Source organism: Homo sapiens, chromosome 19, assembly GCF_000001405.40.
Source record: "Homo sapiens chromosome 19, GRCh38.p14 Primary Assembly".
In the NCBI taxonomy this organism is placed as follows: Eukaryota; Metazoa; Chordata; class Mammalia; order Primates; family Hominidae; genus Homo; species Homo sapiens.
In genome coordinates, this window is record NC_000019.10 from 52,660,670 (window position 1) to 52,680,364 (window position 19,695).

Here is a 19,695-nt window from a genome sequence, read left to right on the forward strand (position 1 = left end):
CAGGACGCTTCAGACTCACGGAAGTCTGCCTACTACAATACCTGGTATATCAGAAAAGAGAGAGAAGAATCCACTGAGGAATATCACTTTACCTGAGGAAGAGCCATCCTTGTCTCCTTTTCTTTGGTCTTCTTGGTGGCTTTCTCATGTAACATGAGTCTTTGGAAATTAATTCTGTGTGAGAAAAAAATATGATATTTAATTAATTTTTTTTGAGATGGAGTCCAGCTCTGTCACCATGATGGGGTTCAGTGACATGATCTCGTCTCACTGCAACCTCTGCCTCCCCAGTTCAAGGAATTCTCTTGCCTCAGTGTACCAAGTAGCTGGGATTCAAGCCATACTCCACGATGCACAGCTAATTTTTGTATTTTTAGTAGACATGGGGTTTCATCATGTTGGCCAGGAGAGTCTCAATCTCCTGACCTTGAGATCTGCCCACCTCAGCCTCCCAAAGAGCTATGATTACAGGGGTAAACCACCAGACCCAGCTGAGATTTAATGTTTAGAAACCACACATTCCTTTCCTGTGACAAAACATACACAGGGGAGACCTTACCCGGTATAAAGACTGTCCTCTACTGCCCACTGCACCAGAGATCATGCAGAGATAAGAAAGCCCCACAGGAAGACCTACAAGGGTAATTTTGACCCATTTTCAGATCTTGCTCCCTCCTGAAAATGTCCACACACACGCTGAAGCAGGGCACAGACCTTCAGGACACAGATCTGGCCCTAACCAAACCCCATGCAGAGCACAGCCCCCTCACCTCCCTGTGGATCACAGACTGACCTCAGTTCTCAATATGGGGGAAACTGCCTTGATGTTCAATGCTGGACACAGATGAGAATCACCAGCGCCATCGTATTATTGAGGGTGTGTCCCATCCTATGATAATAGCAATCTTTGATAGAATAGCATAAAAGATGTATTTGCAAAATGCCTGAGAAACCTAATGTGAAGTCAGGGTTGAGCTCCACTCAGAGGGTACCAGCTGAGCACAGCCCCACCTTCTGGCTCTGCTCTCCCCTTGGGGACTTGTTCCCACCAGGATCCAGTGAACAGCGAAGGAGCTAAAAGAATCACACAGAACAGGTAACATGGACCAGAGGTGGGGGTGAAGGTGGGGCTGCAATGTCAAATGGGGCCTGTGGGAGATCACAAAGGTTACTGTAGATAAAGTGATGTCACAACAAAGACTTAGGGAAGAAAGGCTGCTTGTCACTTGCAGCTGATGGGACAGAGAGTCCTAGGCCGAGGGACAGCCCAGGTGAAGGCCCTGAGACAGGAGCAACCTCAGCCCCAGAAAAAGGAAAGAAACCTGCGTGGCTGGAGCAGAGGGAGTGAGGAGGACACAGGCAGGAGATGAGATCAGGGAGGTCCTGGGAGCACAGATCCATAGGGATGAGGTCTTGAAATATTTTTCTCCCACACTTCAAAAGAATTTTGGAAATGATGTATTTTCTCACGCCTTTCATGTATACACACAACTTTTCTTTACGTTATAAATTACAACATTTACAAATAATGGAATTCATTTCTCATTTTAAAAATACATGCTGTCAAGTTTGGCTAAGTCCCCAGAAGTACCCTGTCACCCTCATCTGAGACATGTAGGACTGCAAGGGAATGTGTTCAGGGGTTTAGGAAGTCACCTATGGAAATGTGCATTTGGAGACGCCTGTTTAATATCCCAGCAGAGAGCTGAGGAGCCAACTGAACACAGGATTGCAGAGCTCAGGGGAGAGGCCTGTAGGGAACATGGAGTCGTGTAGGTGGGTTAAAGTTGTGAAATGACACGATATGGAAGGGCAGTGGGTGTGGACAGAGACAAGGAGAGGTTCAAGATGATCTGAGTCTAATTACCTGTTTTTTCCATTCTGGTACTTGTGTTTTTTATATTTTTGGAGAACAGTAACTTATTTAAAATTCATATTACACCTGAGCATTACCATCTCGTATAGAAAAAGCCACAAACTATTTGGCCAATCATTTCAGGGGTCAGTGTCACTCTGACTGAGCTTTTCTTGTCTTATTCCTCACCTGTATATTACAGATGGGGGTCACTGAGGTTCAGAGTAGGAGACATTTCACCAAGTTATCCAGAGAAGCTCTGAGTTGAGTCAGAAGGAGGTGCGGCTCATTCCTATGTGATGGACTGGAAGGGCCAACAGAATGTGTTGGTTTTTTCTCTAGAAAATTGCAGGATGGGCCAGGTGTGGTGACTCATGCCTGTAATCCCAGCACTTTGGGAGGCTGACAGGGGTAGATCACATGAGCCCAGGAGTTTGAGACCAACCTGGGCAACACGGTGAAATCCCGTCTCTATGAAAAGTACAAAAAATAGCCAGGCATGGTGATGTGCATCTGTGGTCCCAGCTATTTGGGAGGCTGACCAGGGAGGATCACTTGGACCTGGGAAGCAGAGGTTGCAGTGAGCCAAGATCGTATCACTGCACTCAAGCATGGCTGACAGAGTGACACTCCATCTCAAAAAAGGAAAAAAAAAATTCCAGGACCATCTGTTATATACCTGAGCAAAAGAAATGTCTCTTTCAATGTCTAAGGTCCTGATGGCATGAATCCTAAACATGCAATTATTTTCCCAGAAAAATGACAGTAATACGTTCAAAATACACACAATTGTGAACCCCTAGCTATAGGTATTTAAAACACTGAAAGAGAGGCAGTGGTAGAAATGAGATCTGAGCAAATGTTTTCTTCATGAACACATGGACTCTGCTGGAACAAGGTTCTAAGTCAATCCAGCCCATCCTTCAACATCTGCAAAGAATATTATGGACCAGAGGAACTTGAGGAAAATGTTTACTTAGAGGCTCACAGCTCACCATTTAATCAGATGACATGAGGAAAGAAAATGGAGTAATAGGCTACTTGAACTAAATTTTGATGTTAGTGTAAAGAAAAAATTTCCTTGATATCTTTATTGAGTACACATTGAAACAACCTAAAATCATTTATCAGGTACCAGAAAATGTTTCCAATACATAATAAAGACTAGAATGCAGGCAGTGCTCAATCTAAACTGAACACAATAAATTTCAGAGAAAAACAATTTTAAAATGGTTAAAAAATATACATCTAATGAAATGTGAGGTCAAAGAAGAAAATTCAAAACACATATAATAGTTTGAAAATGATAATGTGATGTCGTAAGATTCTACCAAAGCTTATTTGAGAAGCAGTTATTTATTTTACTTTATTTTATTTTATTGAGACGGAGTCTCGCTCTGTTGCCCGGCTGGAATGCAGTTATGCGATCTCGGCTCACTGCAACCTCCACCTCCCGGATTCAAGCTATTCTCCTGCCTGTCTCCCCAGTAGCTGGAATTACAGGCAAGCATCACCATGCTCAGCTAATTTCAGTATTTCAGTTGAGATGAGGATTCACCATGTTGGCCAGGCTGGTCTCGAACTCCTGAAATTAGGTGATCCACCAGCCTTGGCCTCCAAACTGCTGGGATTACAGGTGTGAGCCACTGCACCAGGCCTATTTTTTTTTTTTTTTTTTAATTAAGAACAAGCTGGGTGTGGTGGCTCATGCCTGTAATCCCAAGACTTTGGGAGGCCGATGCGGCTGGATCCCTTAAGCCCTAGAGTTCGAGACCAGCCTGGGCAACATGGAGAAAGCCCGTCTCTATGAGGAACACAAAAATTTGCCCTATGCGGTGGCATGTAGCTGTGGTCCCAGCTACTCTGGAGGCTGAAGTGGGAGGATCCGTTGAACCCAGGAGGTTTATGCTGCGGTGAGCTCTGATCCTGTAACAGCTCTCCAACCTGGGTGTCAAAGTGAGACCCCATCTCCAATTAAAAAAAGAAGAAGAAGGAACCACTGGGTCCTGGGTCTAGGGGCAGGGAATCTAAGGCCAATTAACACGAACTTTTAAGTCCACGCCATCTGCTTCTGGGTCTGTGCCAATTAGGGCAGGACAAAAGCCAGGACTGGGGGGTGGAACCCCAGGAGGTGAGCCGGGCCTGAGCAAGGCCAGGAAGGGATGCAGATTAAGTGGGTGGGGCCTGAGTGAGGCCAGGGTGGGGCATGAAGGACAAGGGGCCTGGTGTGGGGGGGTGAGGGGGGAAGAGGCCTGGGCTGTGAGGGGTTCGCAGGGGAATGAAGGGGTCAGGGCCTGAGCTTCCCTCTATCTCACTCTCCGTGTTTCTGTTTTCCAGGTTTTGAAGGCGAAACCCACCAGTGAGGCTGGAACAGCTCAGGAGTCAGGGAAATAGTACCTCCCTGAGAAGTGAACATGGGGTGGTAATTAGATCCAGGAAAGTTCCTTACTATTGAAATTAATTTTAGCAATTTAATTCCAAAACCTCAAAGTTGTCTAGGGCAGGAATGCAAACTAGAATGCGAAATGCAAAGTCCTGCCTGAGCCAAATGTACAATTTTATGCTGACGGCCCACAGAACCAATTAGAAATCCTCTCCCTTTCTATTCTTCATTCACTGGGGTGGGAGAGTCCACCCTGTGCTCAGCTCCAGAGACTTTCCTAGAGCCACTGCCTGGGGTGGGGAGCAGAGGGCTCAGGCCAGGGAGGAGTGAGGTCACCACCTGCTGCTTAAACACAGCAGGGATGTGGGTGGGGTGGTGGGAGCCAGGAGTCCCAGCTACTCAGGAAGCAGGGGTAGGAGGATAGCTGAGCTGGGAAGTCCAGGCCAGCCTGGGCGACAAAGTAAGACCCTCTACCCCAGAGTTCCCTCCTCCGTCTCAATAAGAAAAAAAGTGATTAAAAAAAAAAGCACTGACCTTGTAACAGTGCATATAAATTGCCCAGTTGTTCCTTACATTTGTTATTTTATGCTGCACTTGTTAGATATGAGTTCTAAATTTCTCTTCAAAGAATCAATGTGTCAGTATGTGCAATTATTTGCCTTCTACTTTTAAACTTAACTTCCTCATAAAGCAACCTTTTTTAATCACCTGCTCCACCCTGAGTAATTCTCCAACCTGACTCATTCCATAATCATTTTTCCCACCAAACCACTCACCCCATCACTCTTTTTAAATTAGCCAATCGGAATTAGCTTAGCCTGTGCGGTCTAATCCTAGCCGATAGGGGAATGACACAGCAGCAGGGGCCTCATGCGTCTGGAGTAAGAACCCCTTCCTGTCCCTTGCCCAAGTGTGCACTCACCATTGCTCCATCTATGAGGACGCACCCTTCTATAGAAGTAAATTGCCTTGGCCATGTGCGGTGGCTCACACCTGTAATCCCCCCACTTTGGGAGGCTGAGGTGGGCAAATCACGAGGTCAGGAGATTGAGACCATCCTGGCTAACAGTGAAACCCCGTCTCTACTAAAAATACAAAAAAAAAAAATTAGCCGGGCATGGTGATGGGTGCCTGTAGTCCCAGCTACTTGGAAGGGTGAGGTGGGAGAATGGTGTGAACCCGGGAGGCGGAGCTTGCAGTGAGCCAAGATCGCACCACTGCACTCCAGCCTGGGCAACAGAGCAAGACTCCATCTCAAAAAAAAAAAAAAAGAAAGAGACAGAGAGTCAAAGAGAGAGAGAGAAAGAGACAGAGAGACAAAAAGGGAGTCAAAGAGAGAGGGAGAAAGAGACAGAGAGTCAGAAAAGAGAGAGAGAGAGTAGTAGTAGAGAGAAAACAGTATACCCTATTCCTTTAAAAGCCAGGGTAAATTTAAAACCTATAATTGATAATTGAAGGTCTTCTCCATGACCCTATAACACTCCAATACCACCCTGTTGTCAGTGTAAACAATGGCATATCCTGAAAGCACTGAGGCCACTGACAACCCATAGCTTACCTATCAAAAATCCTTAACCCAGTAAACCGCGGATGGCCCAAATGCATTCAATCTGTAGTGGCAACTGCTCAGCTAACAGAAGAAACAGAAAAATAACTTTTAGAGGAAACCTCATTGTGAGCACACCTCATCAAGGAAGAACTATCCTAAGTCAAAAAAAAAAAAAAAAAAAAAAGGCAAAATGGTAGCTTACTGACTCAAGAATCTTCAAGTATGAGGCTATTCTGGTAGAAAAAGATGATTTAACATTAACCACTGAAAATTCCATTAACCCAGCAGGTTTTCTAACAGGGGGTCTAAATCTTAATTATTTACCATGCAAAGGTCTGACCAGGCCTAGGAGGAACTCCCTTCCAGACAGGACTATACAGGGTTTCTCCCAGGTGACTGAGGGAAAAAGACATAATGGGTATTCAATAAGTGATAAAGAAACTCTTGCAGAAGCAGAGTTAGGAAAATTGCCTAATAATTGGACTGCTGAAATGTGCAAGCTGTTTGCACTCAGCCAAACTTTAAAGTAGTTACAGAATCAGGAAGGAGGCCACCTATACCACTTCTAAGTTAATATGGACTGAACAAGGTCTTATTAATAGCAAAGAATTGAAATCCCAAACTTACAACGTTTTCAACGAAAGTCAAGTTTGCTAAAAGTTAACATTGTAACATGTATTATCCTAACTTCTAATCTTGTGACCTTAGGCAGTCTAGTTCACAGACATGAAGGAAGTTCACTTTGGGAAAGAATGGTTATCATCTTTGAAAAAAAAAAAAAAAAAAAGGAGGAAGGAGAATTTATGTAAAAAGAATGTTATATGGTAAATTCTTGTCCTAAAATAAATCAAATGGTGGTTTAAAGAAAGGGATGTTTGCAACAATTCAGAAAGTTGAGGCATGTTGAAGAATTGTCTGTCAAAGTTGTGAAAAAAGAAAAGTTATAAGAGGGAATTTATGCAAGAAATGTCATATAATTTGAAAGTAATTAGTCCTCCTGATTGTAAAACTGTTGAAGAAACAGTTTATGTGCAAGTTGTGTAAGGAAAGTAAAATATACTTTTGGTAAAAGGATTATAGGGAGGCAGAAGAATGTGGATTTTTACCTACATTGAAAGATTAAAAAAATTTGTTTTAAAGGTTTAAGCAAGTTTCAAAATGTTAATTGTAAAGGAAATTCTGTGTGTAAACATACTGGCAAAAGTTAAAGGGGTAATATCCAGTTTTTCTGTGAACTGGATATTAAAATAAAAGCACAACCAGTTTTTCTTAAAGCACTAACATGCTCTTCAACAAAAATTATAAAAGGTTAAAGAGTCTATAAAAATCTTACCTTATGGTCAGACATTAACATTGGATAAATATGTCTACAAGGTTTTATTAAAATTAAGTTTAACATTAATAAAACACTAATATAAAGGTGAAATGTAGCTTATCTGGTATAAAAATCATACATGAAGTGTTAAATATAAAATGGTATTTGGCTTTCTTTGGTCTAAAAACTAATAAAAATAGGTGCTAAAGAAAATTTCTCAGCAAGAAGGCACCAAGGATTATAAAGTCCACTGCTGATGTCCCCACGTTTAAAACAAATGATAAATTTCTTAGAAATTATATACTTGGTTTATCCTCCACCTTCTCTTCCTTTAAAACAAGAGTCTCTCAGCACAGGCGCCAGCTTCGGAGTTTCCAGTACATCAGCATCGGCCTGGGGATGACGTTCTCATCAAAGGATGGAAAGAATGGAAACTCGAGCCAGCCTAGGAAGGACCCTATCTTGTGCTGCTAACCACTGAGACTGCTGTTCATACAGCAGAAAGGGAGGGACACATCACACCTGAGTCAAGCAGGTGCCATTATCATCAGAATCATGGGCCACTGTTCCTGGATCAAGCCCTACCAAATTAAAGCTAAGGAAAGCTTAGTCTATCTATCTTTTCCTTTCCTTTCCTTTCCCAGTGCTTATATCCATTACTATTCCTACCACTAGCAACTCTAACCCAACTTTAGAGCATTTCTATGGTTTAGGAGCAGAGGTCACTGGAAAGGATCCTATAGGCTTCTTTAGGGTGTGCTTTTTTCTCCCTCCTCCACCTCCTACAGCTGCCCCTTTCCCAAATCTATGAAATCAAACTATGACATGCCTCGTGCCAAATGACAAAAGCAAGTTCTCAGTAGTAGAAATAGGAGACCTAAGGCAAACCATAGCTATTGAAACAGGGTATAAAGATGTAAATGCCTGGCTAAAATGGATCAAATATTCCCTCTGCATGTTGAACAAAGGCAATTGTTATGCTTGTGCACATGGCAGGCCAGAGGCCCAGATTGTCCCCTTTCCACGAGGGCTGTCCTCCAGTAGACCAGGTGTGGGCTGGATGCTAGCTCTTTTCCAGGATTCTACATCCTGGGGTAACAAGTTATGCCAAGCTCTCTCTGTCTGCTATATCCCAAAGTTCGACACCCTGTGGGTCAGCCCTCCAGGGCCATCCAGCTTCCAACTCCCAACACTAAGTTCACTTTATGTCCCTCATGACAGGGAGGAAACTTAACATTCCTTGGAGACCTGAAGGGATGCAGAGAGCTTAAAATTTTTCAAAAGTTTACCAATCAGCCACTCTTTATTCATCCCTGAGCAGATGCATAGTGGTATTATGGTGGACCTTTACTGGACACTTTACTGAGTAACTGAAGTGGCACTTATGCTTTAGTCCAATTGGCTATCCCTTTCACCCTGGCATTTCATCAACCAGAGAAAGGAAAAATAAGACACCATAAAGCAAAAGAAGTCCCTTATGGGTCTTTTGACTCTCACGTCTATTTAGACACAATTAGAGTCCCATGGGGAAGACTAGATCAATTTAAAGCCCAAAATCAAATAGCTGCAGGATTTGAGTCAATGTTTTGGTGGGTGACAATTAATAAAATGTAAACTGGATAAACTAATCTATGACAACCAACAGCTATCTATTAATTACACTAGAGATGCTGTTAAAGGAATAGCTGAGCAATTAGGGGCTACCAGCCAGATGTCTTGGGAAAATGGGATAGCCTTTGACATGATATTAGCATAAAAAGGAAGAGTTTGCATCATAATTAAAACTCAGTGTTGTACCTTCATCCCAAACAACACTGCGCCCATTGAAAGTAAAACAAAGACATTGCAAGGTCTGACTGCTCTGTCCAATAAGTTAGTGAACAACTCAGGGGTAAATGACCCCTTTTCAGGATGGCTAGAAAAGTGGTTCGGTAGATGGAAAAGAATAGTAGCCTCAATTCTTACTTCCCTCACAGCCGTAATGGGTGTACTTATTCTTGTCAGGTGCTCTGTCACACCATGCATCCGTGGGTTGGTGCAGAGGCTCATAAAAATGGCAGTTACTAAAATCTCCCTTAACTATCCTCCACCTTATCCAAAGAAGCTTCTTCTTATTTTGGAAAATCAAACCGAATGACTAAGCCAAGACATGTTAAAGAAGTTTGAAGAGAAAGAGCTGTAAGGAAAATGCAAGAGAAGGGAATGTTAGATATGAGTTCTAAATTTCTTTTCAAAGAATCAATAAGTCAGTATGTTCAATTCTTTGCCTTCTACTTTTAAACTTAACTTCCTCATAAAGCAACCTTTTTCGATCACCTGCTCCACCCTGACTCATTCCAATCACCTGCTCCACCTTGACTCATTCTGATCACCTGCTCCACCCTGCCTCATTCCAATCACCTGCTCCACCTTGACTCATTCTGATCACCTGCCCCACCCTGACTCACTCCGATTACCTGCTCCACCCTGACTCATTCTCCACCCTCATTCCATAACATTTTTCCTGCCAAACCACTCACCTTGTCACTCTCTTTAAATTAGCCAATTGGAATTAGATTAGCCTGTGTGGTCTAACCCTCGCCAATAGGGGAATGACACAGCAGCAAGGGCCATGTGCATCAGAAATAACCCCTTCCCCTCCCTTGTTCAGGTACGCACTCACCATTGCTCCCTCTGTGAGGGCACAACCTTCTATATAAGTAAATTGCCTTTCTGAGAAGAAAAAAAGAAAATTTTATATTTGGTGCTATTTCTTTTGCAGCACCGAAACTTTATTTACAACACACTTAAAATGAGTTATATTTGTCATGGAAAAGAGTCAAACTCTGTAAAATATTTTAAAATATTTATTCTGCACTAAATATGAATAATCATGGCCCATGACACAACTCTCAGGAGGTCCTGAGAACATATGTCCAAGGTGATGGGGAACAGCTTCTTCTTAGACATTTTAGGGAGGCATTAGACATCAATCAAATACATTTAAAAGATGCATTAATTTTGTTCAGAAAGGTGGGACAACTCAAAGTGGGAGCTTCCAGGCTACAGGTAAATTTAAACATTTTCTGATTAGAATTGGTTGAGTTTGTCTAAATACCTGGGATCAATAGAGAGGAAATGTTCAGGTTAAGATAAAAGATGTTGGAGACCAAGGTTCTTTTGAAGTCCTCTGCTGGCTGCCTTCAGAGAAAATAGATGATGAATGTTTTTTATTCAGACCTTTAAAAGGTGTTAGATTTTTAGTTATTCTCTTCAGGATTGGTAGGGCCTAGAAGAAAAAGATCTAGCTATGTTAACAGAGATTCTTTGCAGACGCACATGAACCCCTCACAAACGATACCTTTGAAGGACCATTTCAAAATATGGCACAGAAACATGTTTTGAGGTCAAATATTTTGACTTTCTTCTTTGCCATATGTTTTGTGGTTTGTAAGGCATGACCCCCTAGACTCTTTACATAGGAATTTGGACAAGATAAAAAAATCAGAGCTTACACCTCATTCTCAAATACTTTTTTTTACAGTTCTTCCCTGCAATATAACTACTTTTACGATAAATGTTGTTGACAACATAATATGCTAACATCAATAATTTATAAATGTATTGTAATATTAAATTCACTCTATGTGCCTTCTGAAAAAATTAGAAAATGTACCTTTTATCTTCAAGTTGTACTTTTTTTTTTTCCTTCAGACAGGACCTAGTTCTGTCACCCCGGCTGGAATGCAGTGGCAGGAACACTGCTCCTTGCACCCTCAACCTCTGGTGCTCAAGCAATCCTCCCGCCACACCTCCCAACTAGCTGGAGCTGCAGGCCCTCACCACCAAGCCTGGCTAATTTGTTAGTACTTTGTAGAGGGGTGGTCCCACTATGATGCTCAGGCTAGCCTTCAACTCCTGGACTCAAGCGATCAACCCACCTTTGCTTCCCAAAGTGTTGGGGTTACAGGCAAGCCACCACACCCATCCAATTGCAATCTATTTTAGGTGTTTTCTTTGTTATTCTCTCCTGAGTGTTCTATCAGGTGGGAATAACAAAGGCTATAAAATATGCAGTCTTTAAATGTTAGGATTTATTTTCATATAGAGAAAGATCATGAAATATTACTAAGAATACATTGCAGTCAAGTTATTCCGTTTTACTTGGGCCCTGAAAAAATATAACTAAGTTATAAAATTGGCTGGGCACATTGACTCACACCTGTAATCCCAGCACTTTGGGAGGTCGAGGCAGGTGGATGACCCAGAGGTCAGGAGATTGAGACTAGCCTGGCTAACATGGTGAAACCCCATCTGTACTAAAAATACAACAATTAGCTGGGTAAGGTGGCACAAAACTGTAATCTCAGCTACTCAGGAGATTGAGGCAGGAGAATCTCTTGAATCCAGGAGGCAGAGGTTGCAGTGAGCAAAGATCTCACCACAGCTCTCCAGCCTGAGCAAAAGAGTGAGATTCTGTCTCAAAAAAATAAAAATAAAAATAAAATGAAATTATAAATCACCTCATTTCTGCATGTAATACTTTTATGACTATATCTGTAAGTTAACATGTACTATGAACTATGTTTTTCTCCCACATCCCTAGCTATGGAAGAATTCATCTATCAAACACTAGTAATTAGCTAAAATATGATTACATTTAGAAGGGAAATTAGCATATCTAGAATATTAGCAAGTTTAAAAAAGCATAATGTCGTCAGGCATGGTGGCTTGTGCCTGTAATCCGAGCATGATGGGAGGCTGAGGCAGGAGGATGGCTAGTGCCCAACAGTTGGAGTCCAGCCTAGGCAACATAGCACCTCATCTTTATGTTTTAAAAATTAATTAAGTTACTTATTTATTTTTGAGATTGAGTTTGGTTCTTGTTGCCTAGGCTGGGGTGCAATGGCACGGTCTCGGCTCACTGCAACATCTGCCTCCTGGGTTCAAATGATTCTCTTGCCTCAGCCTCCCAGGTAGCTGGGATTATTGGTGCTCGCCATCATGCTGGGTTAATTTTTGTATTTTTAGTAGAGACGGGGTTTCACCGTGTTGGCCAGGCTGGTCTCCAAATCCTGACCTTCCAAAGTGCTGGGATTACAGACATGAGCCACCGTGCATGGCAAAAAAGTTTATTTTAATCAGAAATAATTAATAAATAGAACATGATAATGGGTACAAAAAATAGAATAAGACCTATTATTTCATAACACAACAGAATGACTGTAGTCAATGATTAAATTGTACATATAAAAATGGGGATGGCCAGGTGTGGTGGCTCAAACCTATAAGCCCTGTCTCTACCAAAAATACAAAAAAAACTGGATGTGAGCCTGTAATCCCAGCTACTCAGGAGACTGAGGCATGAGAATCACTTAAACCCAGGGAGCAGAGGTTGCAGTGAGTGGAGATTGCACCACTGCATTCCAGACTGTGCGAAAGAGCTGGACTCCATCTCAAAAAACTAAACAAATGGCTGGGCACAGTGGCTCATGCTTGAATCCCAGCACTTTGGGAGCCAAGATGGGTGGATCCCCTGAGGTCAAGAGTTCGAGACCAGCCTGACCAACATGGTATAACCCTGTCTCTAAAAAAATACAAAATTAGCCGAGGGTGATGGCGCATGCCTGTAATCTCAGATATTCAGGAGGCTGTGGCAGGAGAATCATTTGAGCCAAGAAGGCAGAGGTTGCAGTGAGCTGAGATCGCACCACTACACTCCAGGGTACACAAGAAGAGTGTAACTCCATCACACACACACACACACACAAAATGCTATAAACAGAACATCAGAAAAAAAATATAGAAAGTCACATGTATTTAAAAACCTTAAGCTTTTGAAAGCTGTTTTCCCAAGTAATCAAAAATGAGCCAATAACGATGCAAATATTATCTTTTTGTTTTTTGTTTTTTCTGGAGACAGAGATCATGCAACTGCACTCTAGCCTGGGTGACAGAGTGAGACTCCAACTCAAAAAAATAAATAAATAAAAAATTATTAGGCCAGGAGCAGTGGCTCTTTGGGAGGCTGAGGTGGGCCAATCACCTCAGGTCAAAAGTTCGAGACCAGCCTGGTCAACATGGTGCAACCCTATCTCTACTAAAAATACAAAAAATTAACCGGGCCTGGTGGTGTGTGCCTGTAATCCCAGCTACTAGGGAGGCTGAGGCAGGAGAATTGGTTGAAGCTGAGAGGTGGAGGCCGCAGTGAGTCGAGATCATGCCACTGCCCTGCAGCCTGGGTAACAGAGTGAGACTCCATCTCAAAAAAAAAAAAAAAAAAAAAAATTACCAATGTCAACTGAACTTGGAAAGCACCACACATTTGCACACTCACACAGACACAACCCTCTGATATGGCTCTAGACCAAATCCACAGGTTAAAAAGCCCTCAAATGAACTCTTGGGCCTTAAGCCTTTCAAAAGATCACCTGTTTCCTGTGAGGTTGGGGCTGTGGCCCTGATGTGTGAAGACTTAGGACCATCCTGTCATCATAGAAACCCTAAACAAAATAAAGAAGGAAATTTACCTCAACAATATAAAAGACCATCCATGAAATGACCACAGCTGAAATAACCAATCAGGAAAAATTGAATGCTTTTCCTGTAGGATCTCACATGATGCTAGAACGTTCTCACCCTTTCTATTCAATCAATACTGACTGTCCTAGCCAGAGCAATGAAATAGCAAAAGAAATCAAACTCATCCAAATCAGAAAGAAATAAATAAAATTTTATTTGTTTGTAGATGACACGATCCTCTGTGTAGAAAGTCACAAAGACTCAACCAAAATACAAGTGGAACTAATAAACATTCAGTGGATTTGCAGAGTACAATATTAGCACCAAAATTAGTTGAATTTCCATGCAATAACAGTAAAAAATTTTAAAAGGAAATTAAGAAAACACTTCCATTTTCTAGAGAATTTAAACTAAGATATACTTAGGAATAAACGTAAAAATGCGAGAAGTTTCTACCTTGAAATCTATGAACATTGATCAAAATGATTAAAAACATAGAGATACAACCAATATTGATAGATTGGAAAACTTAATCTCGTTAAATGATTATACAACCCAAGATGATTTAGATTTAACACAACGCCCATACAAATCCCTATCAGTTTTTGTCAAAGAAACAAAAAACCGGCTGGGAAAAGTGGCTAACCTCTGTTGGCCAGGCTGGTCTAAAACTTCTGACATCAAGTGATCTACCCACCTTGGGCTCCCAAAGTGCTGGGATTACAGGCATGAGCCACCACGGCCAGCTACTCTAAGCTATTTCTGACAAGACAGTGAAATGAGTGACACAGGAAAAGGGGCATCTAATCACCAATGTCACTGAAGGCTGACAAATCTTATTAAACAAAGGAAGTTCAGAATCTGTACTATAAAGCTTGCGTTACTTGAAGCCATCTAATAGCATTAACTTGTTTTAAAAACCTGGGGGCAAATTAACATTACTTCTCAAATAAGGACACCAGGCCCACAGTGTTCATGTACTTCACCCCAATTTGCATGTACGGTAAGTGAGGGACAAGACTTGATCCTAGGCCTGAAGGATCCCACGACATGTACTTAAGCACAATAGTATGCCCAGGCAGTACAGGAAATGACCAGTCACAGAAAATACAAGAACAGAAAGAAATATATCAAGGGGGATACAAGGGCTGAGCTGGGACACAAGCGCTGAGCTGCGCTGCTGACAGTGGTTCTGAAGCCATCCCTCATGGATCATGTGCTGAGTCATCATACCCTGCACACACTGATTTAAGCGGCCTCCTATAATTTTGTCCAGTGGATGAACAAGGTCTTGACTTACTCAGTGAGAGTGGTGTTGGAGGGGATGGGCTCACGGGGAAATTGGGGTGTTCAGCATTACAAAATCGATAGGCTGAAAAGAAACAGTATTTGCATCCAGATCAATGTACCATGTGATGCAAGGCCAGGAAAGGAAGGGCAAGGGTGGAGGGCAGAAGTAATGGGCATGTAGGAGTGAATTTTGTGCATGCATGTCTGTGGGAATATAATTCCACTAGGATAGACCAAATCTTGAGCTTGGACGAAAGTGGAACTAATTTAGCAAATGGTAAAATATTGACCAGAGGTTAACTATACAAATTACAATATGGGCAAAGGACAAGAATGAACGACATTCAGGCCAGGTGCAGTGGCTCATGCTTGTAATCCCACCACTTTGGGAGGCCGATGCAGGCAGATCATGAGGTCAGGAGTTCAGGACAGCCTGACCAACATGGTGAAACCCTGTCTCTACTAACAATACAGCTCTCGCTCTCCCTCTCCCTCTCCCGCTCACTGCAACCTCCCTGCCTGATTCTCCTGCCTCAGCCTGCTGAGTGCCTGCAATTGCAGGCGCGCGCCGCCACGCCTGACTGGTTTTCGTATTTTTTTGGTGGAGACGGGGTTTCGCTGTGTTGGTTGGGCTGGTCTCCAGCTCCTAACCGTGAGTGATCTGCCAGCCTCGGCCTCCCGAGGTGCCGGGATTGCAGACGGAGTCTCGTTCACTCAGTGCTCAATGGTGCCCAGGCTGGAGTGCAGTGGCCTGATCTCGGCTCACTACAACCTCCACCTCCCAGCCGCCTGCCTTGGCCTCCCAAAGTGCCGAGATTGCAGCCTCTGCCCGGCCGCCACCCCGTCTGGGAAGTGAGGAGCGTCTCTGCCTGGCCGCCCATGTCTGGGATGTGAGGAGCCTGCCCCGGCCCGGCTAGCCTCCCCGTCCGGGAGGGAGGTGGGGGGCAGCCCCCGCCCGGCCAGCCGCCCCGTCTGGGAGGGAGGTGGGGGGCGCCTCTGCCCGGCCGCCCCTACTGGGAAGTGAGGAGCCCCTCTGCCTGGCCACCACCCCGTCTGGGAGGTGTGCCCAACAGCTCATTGAGAACGGGCCAGGATGACAATGGCGGCTTTGTGGAATAGAAAGCGGGGAAAGGTGGGGAAAAGATTGAGAAATCGGATGGTTGCCGTGTCTGTGTAGAAAGAAGTAGACATGGGAGACTTTTCATTTTGTTCTGCACTAAGAAAAATTCCTCTGCCTTGGGATCCTGTTGATCTGTGACCTTACCCCCAACCCGGTGCTCTCTGAAACATGTGCTGTGTCCACTCAGGGTTAAATGGATTAAGGGTGGTGCAAGATGTGCTTTGTTAAACAGATGCTTGAAGGCAGCATGCTCCTTAAGAGTCATCACCACTCCCTAATCTCAAGTAATCAGGGACACAAACACTGCGGAAGGCCGCAGGGTCCTCTGCCTAGGAAAACCAGAGACCTTTGTTCACTTGTTTATCTGCTGACCTTCCCTCCACTGTTGTCCTATGACCCTGCCAAATCCCCCTCTGTGAGAAACACCCAAGAATGATCAATTAAAAAAAAAAAGAAAAAAAGAAAAAAAAATAAAGGAAGAAGATACAATCAAAAAAACAAAAACAAAAACAAAACAATCAAAATCAGCCTGCAGTTCACACCACAAAGCATGAGTGAGACTGGGCTGGAAGTTGGTGAGGGGCATTTTGCTTTTGAATATTAAAGACAGACAAATTGAGAAGTAAAAAAAAAAAAAAAAAAAAAAAACAAAAATTAGCCGGGTGTGGTGGTGCATGCCTGTAATCCCAGCTACTCAGGAGGCTGAGGCAGGAGAATTGCTTGAACCCTGGCAGTGGAGGTTGCAGTGAGCTGAGATGTGGCCACTTCACACCAGCATGGGTGACAGAGTGAGACTCTGTCTCAAAAAGAAAAAAAGAAAAAGAGATCCAAAAAATCAGCAGTATGGCGGTCTGAGGTAAAAGCAGTTTTACGTCTCTTAAATTAAATGGCCTCTGATTTCCAGTGTCAAATGAATACTCAACAAAATCCCCCTTGTAGATTGCAGAATTGTGTATACACATGAAAAAATGAGTAAACTCTATGAAGAGTACAGCAATGGGGGAGACCACAGGCGTGAAGAATGATCCCTAGCTGAGTAGGTAGAGATCGGTTTGTGAAAAAAGAGCCAGGCCAGAGGGGATGGCTCATGCCTGTAGTCCCAACACTTTGGGAAGTGGAGGTGGGTGGATCATGAGGTCAGGAGTTCAAGACCAGCCTGACTAGCATGCTGAAACCCCATCTCTACTAAAAAAATACAAAACATTAGCTGGGCATGGTGGCACGTGCCCATCATCCCAGCTGCTCGGGAGGCTGAGGCAGGAGAATTGCTTGAACCTGGGAGTCGGAGGTTGCAGTGAGCCAAGATTGCACCACTGCACTACAACCTGGGTGACAGAGTGAGACTGTCTCAAAAAACAAAACAAAACAAAAAACAAAACAAAACAGACCCAGATGGAGATTGTTGCCTACATGTGTGATTGGTCAAATTAGTGAAGAAAAACAATAATGCGCTAACTAAAATGGTTGCATATGAAAATTAGAGGATAAGGCCAGGCTCGGTGGCTCAAGCCTGTAATCCTAGCACTTTGGGAGGTCGAGGCAGGTAGATCACAAGATCAGTAGTTCAAGACCAGACTGGCCAAGATGGTGAAACCCCGTCTTACTAAAAATATAAAAATTAGCCAGGCATGGTGGCAGGCGCCTATAATCCCAGTTACTTGGGAGGCTGAGGCAGGAGAATCACTTGAACCTGGGGGACAGAGGTTGCAGTGAGCTGAGATTGCACCATTGCACTCCAGCCTGGGTGACAGAGCGAGACTTCATCTCAAAAAAAAAAAAAAAGAAAAAAGAAAAAAAAACTGGAGGGTAAATCTTGTTTCTTATGTAAAAACAAGGGTGTCTCTTTTCCTGGTTCCTATATTATTTGAAGTCATATCCCTGGACTTTTAAACACAATCTCTGGAATAAATGAGACATGAAAAGTGAAGGTGACAGACTAGCAAATGCCAGGCCCTCATATCCTCATGGAGACACCAACTCAACAAAAATGTTTCATCAAAAATATCTTTGTAGGCCAGGCATGGCTCATGCCTGTAATCCCAGTACTTTGGGAGACCAAGGTGGGTGTATCACCTGAGGTAAAGAGTTCAAGACCAGCCTGGCCAACATAGTGAAAACCTGTCTCTACTAAAAATACAAAAATTAAGCCAAGTGTGGTGGTACATGCCTGTAATCCCAGCTACTCAGGAGGCTGAGGCAGGAGAATCACTTGAACCCAGGAGGCCAAGGTTGCAGTGAGCTGAGATCACACAACTGCCTCCACCCTGGGTGACAGAGCAAGACTCCATCTCAAAAAAAAAAAAAAGAAATGAACACTAAAATATAGGGATTTCATTCAACCTCACAAGCTCCCTTAATAAGATTGATGAAAACCATATCTGTTACAGGGTTGATTCTACAACAAATTGAACAAAGGTTTTCTTGTTAAAAATGAACAGTGACACATATTGGTGTGAAAAATGTGAAATGAACAACAGTTCAGTCAAGAGCCTCATAGGAGGCTGTGAGCCCAAATGACATCCTCAGTAGGAGGAATTTTAACACCACTGACTGCTGCTTAGAGAAGACGATCATTAGTTTATGGGATGAACATTGCCACAGTGCCACTGAGAGAAGCTTCTATGATGCTCCTCAAAAACCAGAATGGCTCAGGCATGGTGGCTCATGCCTGTAATCCCAGCACTTTGGGAAGCCAAGGTGGGTGGGTCACCTGTGGTCAGGAGTTCAAGACAAGCTTGGGCACCAAGATGAAACTCCGACTCTACTAAAAATACAAAAACTGGCCAGGTATGGTGGAGCATGCTTATAAGCCCTGCTACAAGGGAGGCTCAGGCAGGAGAATTGCTTGAACCCAGAAGGTGGAGGTTGCAATGAGCACAGATTGCACCACTGCACTCCAGCATGGGTGACAGAGGGAGACTGTATCTCAAAAAATAAATAAATAAAAGAAAGCATGACAGCTGGAAACACTTATCAGTCAGTGTGATGCTTTCTATCTCATAACCTGGTCCACGCTGACAATTCTGCTCAGGGTTTCCAGGGCGCCTCTGCCTAGAGCAGGATGATGTTCAATCATAACAGTCAAAGTGTTCTTCATGAATTTTCTGTTTTTATGCAAACTCACTCCATAGGGGAGTGCCTAACAAGCTATCCATGACTGATAGGAGGGTCATCACTGCAGAAAACAATGACACGTACATCAAAAGCATGTATGGGGGCTGGGCACAGTGGCTCACACCTGTAAGCCCAGCACTTTGAGAGGCTGAGGCGGGTGGATCACCTGAGGTTGGGGTTCGAGACCAGACTGACCAACATGGAGAAGTCCTGTCGCTACTAAAAATACAAAATTAGCCAGGCGTAGTGGCACATGCTGGTAATCCCAGCTACTTGAGAGGCTGAAGGAGGAGAATTGCTTGAACCTTGGAGACAGAGGTTGTGGTAAGAAGAGATCACACCACTGCACTCCACCCTGGACAACAAGAGGGAAACTGTCTCAAAAACAAACAAACAAGAAAGCAGGCATGGGGCAAAATCACAAAACAGAACACATAACCAGGCAGAGCCAAGATAGACAAGAGCAGATTTCTCATGTTTGCAGGGACATTTTCATCACCCACAGACTCTAGGTACCTGTAGCTCTCCCACATCACTTCCCTGTATAAAGCCCTCTGCGCAGGGTTCA

The 19,695-nt window shown here is 43.4% G+C and overlaps 2 protein-coding genes across 10 annotated transcripts in view, besides 6 other annotated features; both read right to left on the minus strand.

Annotated features, from left to right (window-relative positions):
* ZNF83 (zinc finger protein 83) overlaps window positions 1-19,695 on the minus strand; it is a 78,120-nt gene that overhangs the window by 48,293 nt on the left and 10,132 nt on the right. For 7 of the 9 annotated variants that reach the window (NM_001277948.2, NM_001277946.2, NM_001277949.2 and 4 more), the window contains exon 2: window positions 93-174. The gene's annotated coding sequence lies outside the window, so the exon portion shown is untranslated. Of the gene's footprint in view, window positions 1-92; window positions 175-13,512; window positions 13,585-19,695 lie in introns of all 9 variants that reach the window. The other 2 variants (NM_001277947.2, NM_001348019.2) reach the window with 1 other exon arrangement.
* Window positions 1-19,695, minus strand: part of LOC122539214 (Zinc finger protein LOC122539214) — a 40,050-nt gene that overhangs the window by 10,223 nt on the left and 10,132 nt on the right. The window contains exon 2 of the mRNA NM_001396016.1: window positions 93-174. Within this exon, the coding sequence (NP_001382945.1) occupies window positions 93-155 (63 nt within the window). The 5' untranslated portion in view covers window positions 156-174. The remainder of the gene's footprint in view (window positions 1-92; window positions 175-19,695) is intronic.
* Window positions 3,482-3,982: an enhancer, noted in NCBI's record as "H3K4me1 hESC enhancer chr19:53167404-53167904 (GRCh37/hg19 assembly coordinates)". NCBI's record gives its function as "activates a minimal SCP1, AML or CMV promoter by ChIP-STARR-seq in primed H9 embryonic stem cells {active_cell/tissue: H9 hESC(primed)}" and the evidence as "EXISTENCE:reporter gene assay evidence [ECO:0000049][PMID:30033119]".
* Window positions 7,923-8,424: an enhancer, noted in NCBI's record as "H3K27ac hESC enhancer chr19:53171845-53172346 (GRCh37/hg19 assembly coordinates)". NCBI's record gives its function as "activates a minimal SCP1, AML or CMV promoter by ChIP-STARR-seq in primed H9 embryonic stem cells {active_cell/tissue: H9 hESC(primed)}" and the evidence as "EXISTENCE:reporter gene assay evidence [ECO:0000049][PMID:30033119]".
* Window positions 8,931-10,130: an enhancer, noted in NCBI's record as "P300/CBP strongly-dependent group 1 enhancer chr19:53172853-53174052 (GRCh37/hg19 assembly coordinates)". NCBI's record gives its function as "activates an origin of replication core promoter dependent on BRD2, BRD4, P300/CBP, MED14 and CDK7 cofactors, with strong dependence on P300/CBP, by STARR-seq in HCT116 cells {active_cell/tissue: HCT116}" and the evidence as "EXISTENCE:reporter gene assay evidence [ECO:0000049][PMID:35650434]".
* Window positions 13,341-13,840: an enhancer, noted in NCBI's record as "H3K4me1 hESC enhancer chr19:53177263-53177762 (GRCh37/hg19 assembly coordinates)". NCBI's record gives its function as "activates a minimal SCP1, AML or CMV promoter by ChIP-STARR-seq in naive H9 embryonic stem cells {active_cell/tissue: H9 hESC(naive)}" and the evidence as "EXISTENCE:reporter gene assay evidence [ECO:0000049][PMID:30033119]".
* Window positions 15,414-15,978: an enhancer, noted in NCBI's record as "H3K27ac hESC enhancer chr19:53179336-53179900 (GRCh37/hg19 assembly coordinates)". NCBI's record gives its function as "activates a minimal SCP1, AML or CMV promoter by ChIP-STARR-seq in naive H9 embryonic stem cells {active_cell/tissue: H9 hESC(naive)}" and the evidence as "EXISTENCE:reporter gene assay evidence [ECO:0000049][PMID:30033119]".
* Window positions 15,979-16,543: an enhancer, noted in NCBI's record as "NANOG-H3K27ac hESC enhancer chr19:53179901-53180465 (GRCh37/hg19 assembly coordinates)". NCBI's record gives its function as "activates a minimal SCP1, AML or CMV promoter by ChIP-STARR-seq in primed H9 embryonic stem cells {active_cell/tissue: H9 hESC(primed)}" and the evidence as "EXISTENCE:reporter gene assay evidence [ECO:0000049][PMID:30033119]".